Consider the following 9061-nt stretch of genomic DNA (forward strand, 5'->3'; position numbering starts at 1 on the left):
GATTTGGGGAGAACAAAGACTACTACCCATGCAGTTGTTTCCATCTCAATCACAAACACTAAAATCTTATACCTTTTTCAGAGTCTCTTACATGTTTAACTTCTACATTTACACAGGGTGGCTAAAACTTGGGATTACGTACTTCTTTATCATATACCCCTATAATATCACTGCTAATATGACGATAAATTTTTAAAATAATAATCTTACCAATAGGAATTTAATGTATTTGTCACTAATTATTCTGAGAAAATACATTTCCACTTCATTGTAATTGACATCAATTCTCAAAGTTAAATTCCCAACTTACTTTCTTGATAGTTCTTAAAATTCTCTCATTCAGTTTTTTAAAAATAAATTAATCAGATAACTCTCATTGAAATATATGTCTCTGGGAAGAATAAATAATTAAAAAATATTGTACTATATCACCACGCCAGAGATTGAAATATATAAAAACCACTCATTATATTGTTCATTGATTTATTTTCCAATCATAACGGTCTGCATTTTAATATTAATATTTGTTGTAAATGACTAATGCTTAAATCAAACTATATAGAGAGGGAAAAGTAATTTTTAAAACATCATCTAGTTAAAAATAGGGAGGGCAGAAAAAGTAGATTTTTAAAACACAAGCTAAATGGTACATGAGCACTCAGGGGCGGTGGCTTGTGTCAGTAATCCCAGCAACTTGGGAGGCCAAGATGTGTTGATTTCTTGAGCTCAGGAGTTCAAGACCAGCCTGGTCAACATGATGAAACCCCGTCTCTACAAAAAAATACGAAAATTAGCCAGCATGATGGTATTGGCCTGTAGCCAGCTACTCTGGTTGCTGAGGTGGGAGGATCGCTTGAGCCTTGGAGGTGAGGTCGAGGCTGCAGTGAGCCGAGATGAAATTTACTGAAATTGGGGAAATATACTTCATAATGATAAATTAATTTTCCAAACCATTAGTAATATATTTTTTATCATTGCATATACCTAATGATACAAGTTCAACATATAGTTGAATAAAGTGAACAAGTAAACAATCATAAATGGGATTTTTAAAGACTCTTCTCTTGATGCTTAATACAAGACAGGCCAGTGAGCCTATAGAAAGATTTAAACTAGACAAGTAACCATCACTCATATGAATGCATTCACACACATATACTCACACGGATACTCAATTTCAATGTAGTACCGCTAGCCAAGCTTGGCTAGGAGACAGTTGAAATGTAGCTATTCAAATTTAACATTAATTAATAAAAATAAATAACATTTAAAACCAGTACCTCACCACATGAGCCACATTTATAAAGGGATGAAGAACATTTCCAGTTTAATAGAAAATGTTCTAACTATATTTTACCTACAACAGAAGTCAATAAACAAAAATCTGAGAACCTTATATGGTTTTTAATTCAGTAATATATGTCAAAATAACATATGGGCCAAAGAAATTATCAAGATGAATGGTCACAAAGGACTACTAAGGGAAGATTTTGAAAAGGCACAGATATTTTATTCCCAGTTTAAACATGGCAATACCATTATGGTCTTTACAGTTATTAAACAGGCAATAAAACTATATTATCAATGCATTTTAATGTCCATATGAAATAGAAAATTCCTGGGAAATGCTCATTACCAAAATATAGTACCTCAAATAGAAATCTGAGTAAACCCTACATGTATTGAAGAAATTCAGTTTAGCCATAAACTTTTCTACAAAAATAGCCTGCAAACTCAGATGGCATAACTAGTGAATGATAACATTTAAAAATAAAGCGGTACTCTTTATTATTATTATTATATTTTAAGTTCTAGGGTATATGTGCACAACGTGCAGGTTTGTTACATAGGCATAGATGTGCCATGTTGGTGTGCTGCACCCATCAACTCATCATTTACATTAGGTATTTCTCCTAATGCTATCCCTCCCCCAACCCCCCACCCCCCGACAGGCCCCGGTGTGTGATGTTCTCCTCCCTGTGTCCATGTGTTCTCATTGTTCAATTCCCACCTATGAGTGAGAACATGCGGTGTTTGGTTTTCTGTCCTTGTGATAGTTTGCTGAGAATGATGGTTTCCAGCTTCATCCATGTCCCTGCAGAGGACATGAACTCATCCTTTTTTATGGCTAAAGCAGTACTCTTAACAAATGCTTCCAGGTTATAGAGAAACAGAAAATCTTCCCAAGATAGCCTTGAGACCAAAACTTTTTCAAGTACATAGCTACAAATAAAAACGTGGTCAAATATCCTTGTGAACATAGATGAAGAAACATATCTTACCCTAGATATAGTAGTATGTGCACTGATATTTTATAAGGGGCAATATACAATGATCAGCATGGATTTGTTTCGGAAACAAAGCCTAGTTTAACATTTGACAAAAATAAAATTATTTTATAAAATGTTGTATAAAGAAAACATATATCATTCTAAGTAATAAAAAATAAAAATGTTACAATTGATAACATCTATTGAAAAAAGGAATATTATAAAACCACTTCAATATAAGAAAGATATGATGAAAAAAACACCAAACTTTGTAAATATGAATAATATGTTGAATTATTTTTTGCCAAAACCAGAAAATGATACATATGATACATGTAAAATTTGATTGTACCTTCTATTCAACTCTGGATATAAAGTACTAGCCAGAGAAAATAAATGAAGAAAAAATAAGTTGTGGCACATGGATAGAAAAAATAAAAGTGTGATTATTTGCAGGACACAGGCAGGGGAACATCACACACAGGGGACTGTTGTGGGGTGGGGGGAGGGGGGAGGGATAGCATTAGGAGATATACCTAATGCTAAATGACGAGTTAATGGGTGCAGCACACCAACATGGCACATGTATACATATGTAACAAACCTGCACATTGTGCACATGTACCCTAAAACTTAAAGTATAATAATAATAAAAAAAGAAAAAAAAAGAAAAAGAAAAGAAAATAAAATTGCTGTTTATATAGAAAATCCAGAAAAATCTGTTTGAAATGATAGATTTAAATATGTAAAATAAGTGAAAATGCAGACATCAGTTGTATTTCTATTTACAGTAACAAAAGTTATTAAAGGGAATATTAAAATCAGAATGCTATTTACAAAAGCATGAATGTAAAATATCTGCATTTCTGTATGATTCAAACCCCCAAAATACATAATATGATAGAGAGAAATTAAAGAAAACCCCATACATTGAACCCAGTACATTGAAGGACACAATATGATATTGTATGGAAATGTCAAGAAGCTAATCTTTAAAAATTACTTTAGAGATTAAATGCAGACTCAAGCAATCCCAGGACAGTATATATTTTTGTTTTGGACAGCTTCATTGAGGTACGGTGCACATAGCATAAATTTCATCCACTTAAAATGATTAAAAATCAGTGATGTTTAGTGTATTCACAGAGTTACAACCATCACTGCTACTGAAATTTAGAAAGTTTTCATCACTGACACAAAGAAACATTCTAGCAATTAGTGGACACCTCCTATTTCAACCTCCCTTAGGCATTAGCAACGCTATTTTATTTTCTGTCTCCATGGTTTTGCTTGTTCTTGATACTTCATATAAACTGACCAACATAACATGCAACTTTTAGGAAGCCTGAATGCCACAAACATCACGTTCAGCAAAATGAGCCTGACTTAAATGCGAGGGTATCTGTACTTCCGTAATTGTGTGTATTATATTTCAATAATTGATTTGGAATTTTCTTATTATTAGAGCAAATAACACAATTCATTTTAAGGCTTATGCAATCATAATATCATTTCTGTTTGAACAAATATAAAATTTTATCTGATGCACTGCAAGCTCAAGCGCTTTAATTCTAAAGCTTATGCTCACAATGATTCTTGAAGATCCACACTGGTCTGATATAAGTCCACGTACATGTAGCATTGCACAGTTACGTTCAGCATGATCTGAGTCTTTTATCCTGTAATGGAGAAAAATCCATAATTCTGTTACATTTTATGCAAATGACCCATGAGACAAAAGCATTTTCCATGTACTGTAAGAAAATAATTTTATGAAAAAGGGTAATTAAATTTTTCATATGCTATTACTAAAAGTCATTATTCTGAACACTCAATACAGTACTCCCCCTTCATCCACGGGGGATATGTTTCAAGACCCCACTGAATGTCTGAAATAGTACAGAACCTATAGAGAGATTATGTTTTCTCTACACATTCATAACTGTGATAAAGTTTAATTTAAAAATTAGGCACAATAAGAGATTGACAACAATAACTACTAATAAAAAATTGTAAGCAATATACCAACAGCACTACTATTGTGCTTTGAGGATATTCTTAAGTAAAATAAGGGTGACTTTTTAATGAAAACAAGCACTGCAATTCCCTGATAGTCCATCTCAAGCTTGTCTAACTTACGGCCCATGGGCCGCATGTGGCCCAGGAAGCTTTCAATGCGGCCCAACACAAATACATAAGCTTTCTTAAAACATTCTGAGATATTTTTGCAATTTTTTTGTTTAGCTCATCAGCTAGCGTTAGTGTTAGTGTCTTTTATGTGTGGCCCAAGACTCTTCTTCTTCCAATGTGGCCCACAGAAGCCAAAGATTAGACACCCCTGGTCCATCTCATAACCAAGAAAGTTACTAGCTGACCAATGAGTGGTGGACATATATGGACTACTATGGTCTATTGTAAAATATTTGTATCAACATTTCACTAACTTTCCACATCTTTCTTCATATCAATGATTCCACATAGATTTATTCATATTATTCTTCTGAATTTATCCTTTATATTTTTTTATATAGCACCCTATAAAACAACTTACTCATGTTTGAAAGCCAAACCATTTATTGTCACCCATGGATGATGACTGCTGTTACGAAACACACCAATCCATGAGGAAGGTAAAATGCTGGCCAGAAATTTCTAAAAGAAAAGAAATAATTTTCACTTAAATAATAATTATGAAAACATTACAAAAACAATATATTAAAGTTGAAAACCACTATTTGCAGTGCCAAAAACTTTCATAAATGTTTGAATTTTTTATTTAAATGAACTCTTCAACGTTTATACTTAGTACTTTCATTCTTATTCTCATGTTAATAAAGACATTTTAATTCTTGCAATGTAATAGTTACTCCAATTAACAGAATAAACACAGGAAGGGTTTTAATAAGTTTCCTGATACTGTGCATTCATTTCTCCAGATACTGTGACTAAATCAATCTATTTTTGTGCTATATTTCTCAGAGTTGGAGATTTAGAAGGGAATTGAGGGGTTGTCATTCAGAAATAAATGACATGGAAGCTACAGATTGGGTTTCCTTGGTACCACACCATTCTTTAACTAGATAAGCCCTCAATTTTTATCCGATTCGGTTTTTGTGGAATAACAGGGGTCCTGGCCAGGTGGTGTAGACTCGTCTCTCTCTGCTACTCCCTACTAAAAACAACTATAAACTCTGGGATTAATGAAAGACAAAAGTAATGGAGAACTCTGAAAGGTGGAAAGAGAAAGATGAAATTGTCTGGGACCCTAGCATCAGGGATCAACCAAGTGTCCGAGTGAGCATGTTAAGTCCTCCACACGACAGAAGAAGGTGACCTAGGCCTGCTGTTTCCCTACACCCAACCTGGCAATAGGAGGAGGGTATCGAAGGAGAGTCCCCTCCACAATACCAGGCAAGGCTGGTGCCACTGGCAAGGATGATCTACCAGGAGACCTGCCACCAATACGGAGCTAGAGAAAGTGCTTCCTTCTCATACCAGGAGACACCAGGGTGGTTGTGGGTGAGGAGGATCAGGAAAGGGACCCACGACTACCAATGCACCATCCAGGGTCCTCTTTGCCCCTGAGGGCATGAGACTCACTTCCCCATCTAGAGACATAAGACAGAATGAATTCTTAGTGTTCTTTGTACATAGTACAGCAGTGAACAGTAACAAACTACAGATAACCGCAATAATATGGAGGAATTCCACAAATATCAGATAGGAGTGAAAAAGACAGACATGAAATTCACACTGTATAATTCCGTTTTTTATAAATTCAAGAACAGGCAAACCTTATTTATAACTTCAAAAGTCAAGACAGTGTTTTGGAGAGGAGTCAGGATAAGTGATGAGGGCATACACAGGGGTGGAACTGCTAGAGCTGGAAACTTATTTCATGATCTCACTTGTATCACATGAGATCATTCACTTTGTGATCAATCTGCATGACTAGATCATATCATGCTCAATAAAATTAAATAGTAAAATTTATTGTGGATTCAAAGCATTAATAGAAGCATGGTTTTCCATAAAAAGCAAAAACTGAAAATAAAAGTACATTAGCGGTATATAACTTTAAAAACATTATTAAGTCAATCAACTGAATAATGCATACACTTGAAAATATATAAGCTAAATATATGTACACACATATGGATGTTTTCTACAAATGTATTATTCACTGAAAGAAGCTTTTCATAAAATGTTTGAAACATTTACATCTTACCATTTCTTCTTCATTATCTATACAAAGCAGACTAGAAGAGTTCTTTGAAGCACAGGCCTGCAAACTCTCTTCCCAAGTTCTTCTTTCCTTACCAATGTAATAACAACTGTTGGAATATGTAATCCACTCCTCAGGACAATGGCCACAATGACGTGCTAATAAAGATATGAATTACTATCTAGACCAATATGAATTTTTAAAAATGAAAATTAGTTCACATATTTGCAACAGTATAAACATATATGTGCTTAACATATTTATGCATCCTTACAGGCTTATAAGTATATATTTTTTAATAACTGAGTCAGTCATACACACATACACAGAAAAGGGTTAGCCTCTCTCCCCTAATTGTGTTCCCATATAAAGCAAACCAACAAACAAAAATACACTCCACACATGTCTTGAACCTCACTGATACACAACTGCTTTTTTAGAATAGTAAAATTATTTATTTGGTATCATCTCACAGCAGTAGGAGACTTCTGTTAATTGGGAGAAAGAGGGTAGAATGATTTTAAGTGAGTATTTCTACTTACTGGAGAAAAGGAAATGCTGCCTCATAATCTTTCTTTATAAATATTTATGGCTGAATTTATGGCTTATTTTCTGCAAAAATGCCACTATTCTTTTACATGCCTTAAAACAGACACAAAATATAAATTGTACTAATATCAGAGCATTGAAAATAAAAATGTACCTTTCTGGGTTCTTGCATTCGGGGAAGAATTGTTCTGCTCCAGGACTGTAATAGAAAAATTAAAATGATTTTTATAAAAACTGATATCTAGATAAACCATAATGAGTTTAGTTTCTTACTTTGAAACTTTGTGTGTTATTTAAAATGGGGAGAATCTTTAATAAAATTAACTTTTTCTATAAAAATATATAAAGTAATAGACCTTTGAAATAAACATTTTTAAAGACTTTAGCACAAAACTTCACCATCTCTTGTAGTATTTGATGTAACCACTTTCAAAAATTAGTTTTTCTAAATACTTTTCTTCTATAGCATGCCTTTGAATTATGAAATCAGAAAATATCTTTGTGTGTGTATGTATATACATATATATAGATTACACACAAAAAATAAACACATGTTCTCTACAATGATTTTGTTATTTATGTTGTGAAAAATTCAGAATAACCATATTATTTTGGTTCCAAATTGTACTAATATCAGAACTTTGAAAATAAAAATGTACTTTTCTGGGTTCTTGTATTTGGGGAAGAATTGTTCTGCTCCAGGACTGTAATAGAAAAATTAAAATGATTTTTATAAAAAGTAATATTTAGATAAACCATAATGAGTTTAGTTTCTTACTTTGAAACTTTGTGTGTTATTTAAAATGGGGACAATCTTTAATAAAATTAACTTTTTCTATAAAAATAAATGAAGTAATAGATCTTTGAAAGAAACAGTAAAATAAGAGTTCTATTCTTCAACAGTATGAAATATTTTGAGGCACTTCCAAGCATTAAAGTAAAACGTTCCCTTCTAATCTTTCAAGAATATGCTTACAAGGAATAAGAACTATTGTTTTTAACACAGTGGCCATCAGGACAATGCAAATGATTCCTAGGACCTCGGCAGTGAGCTTTTCTGGAGGTGGCAGTAAACCTGCAGGGAGAGAAATAGAGGCACTGAGAGAGGGGAGATAGAGAGTTGATTAGGATTACATACTAGAGAATTACATACTAGAGAACCCACATGCACAGGGAAACATAATGATAAACTCTGGCCGCTAAATCTACATCTACTCTAGTAATCTTTCTCTCAGAATATACCATTTCATTTTCAGTAAATGTAATGTTCCATGAGTGGATTGCAGATTACAGTTGATTACAGTTGAACAATGCCTGAATAAAATTAGTCTTCTGATTTCATATTAGAATATTAGATCCCATTTATGAACTCTGATTCTCACAAGTGTAAAATATTCCCTAATCTTTCCTCACCCTTCTGCATTCAACTGCACATCCCAGAACAATAACATTGAAGATATATTTAATGTTTTACCTTGGCAGTCATATATTTTATCAATCCCTTGATGATTCAGAGAAGCATTTTGAAGGTTTAATTCTACTTGGAATATTTCCTGTTCGGTTCCTGAAATGGAGCTTTTATTGCCTTTAGGTTTCCTTTGCTGCCACTTTGGGTCCTGGGCCAGACTCACTTCTGAGAAGGTTCCTCTTTGTTTACTCATCTCTGCAGCTGTGTGATGTGAGGGACTGTGCTCTATGATAACTGCACTTAAGAAGCTATAAATGGTGTATATTTTGACAGGATCCCTGGTATAGGCAATGTGCATGTGTTGGGGCTGAGTAATAATGTTTACTTTGCTGTTAACCTAGGTAAAATTCTGCTACTAATTTCCTAAAGCTTTAAACAAAAATCACACGATATAATTGGCCATTTTTTAGATGTATTCTGTATTTGACATAATATTACTAGTGGGAACAATAAAAACATTAAACTTGTGAGAACTAGGAAGTTCATGAAAAAAATTGGTATTAAATTAAGGTTAGATTCTTCAAAAATGTTTAACACCAATAGACTGCA

General features: G+C 33.4%; 1 protein-coding gene across 2 annotated transcripts; it reads right to left on the minus strand.

The window, feature by feature from the left end:
- On the minus strand, positions 470-8750 carry KLRC3 (killer cell lectin like receptor C3). 2 transcript variants are annotated; one of them, NM_002261.3, is made up of 7 exons: positions 8519-8750; positions 8021-8119; positions 7199-7243; positions 6499-6653; positions 4822-4922; positions 3859-3949; positions 470-771 (listed from the first exon to the last, which is right to left on the minus strand). In NM_002261.3, the coding sequence occupies exons 1-7, from the start codon at positions 8703-8705 to the stop codon at positions 727-729; spliced, it is 723 nt and encodes a 240-aa protein (NP_002252.2). In that variant the 5' UTR covers positions 8706-8750; the 3' UTR covers positions 470-726. The 2 variants fall into 2 exon arrangements, with proteins under 2 accessions (NP_002252.2, NP_031359.2); NM_007333.2 differs by lacking the exon at positions 470-771 and having other exon boundaries at positions 3739-3949.

Source organism: Homo sapiens, chromosome 12, assembly GCF_000001405.40.
Source record: "Homo sapiens chromosome 12, GRCh38.p14 Primary Assembly".
Taxonomy (NCBI): Eukaryota; Metazoa; Chordata; class Mammalia; order Primates; family Hominidae; genus Homo; species Homo sapiens.

Bases quoted from the DNA above. Each gene is read 5' to 3' on its own strand.
- KLRC3 (NM_007333.2), bottom strand. From the start codon at position 8,705: ATGAGTAAACAAAGAGGAACCTTCTCAGAAGTGAGTCTGGCCCAGGAC. The intron at 7,244-8,020 runs GTAAGCATATTC...TTTCTATTACAG, and splicing joins AACAATAGTTCTTATTCCTT to TCCTGGAGCAGAACAATTCT. The intron at 3,950-4,821 runs GTAAGTTGTTTT...TCTCCATTACAG, and splicing joins GGTTTGGCTTTCAAACATGA to GATAAAAGACTCAGATCATG.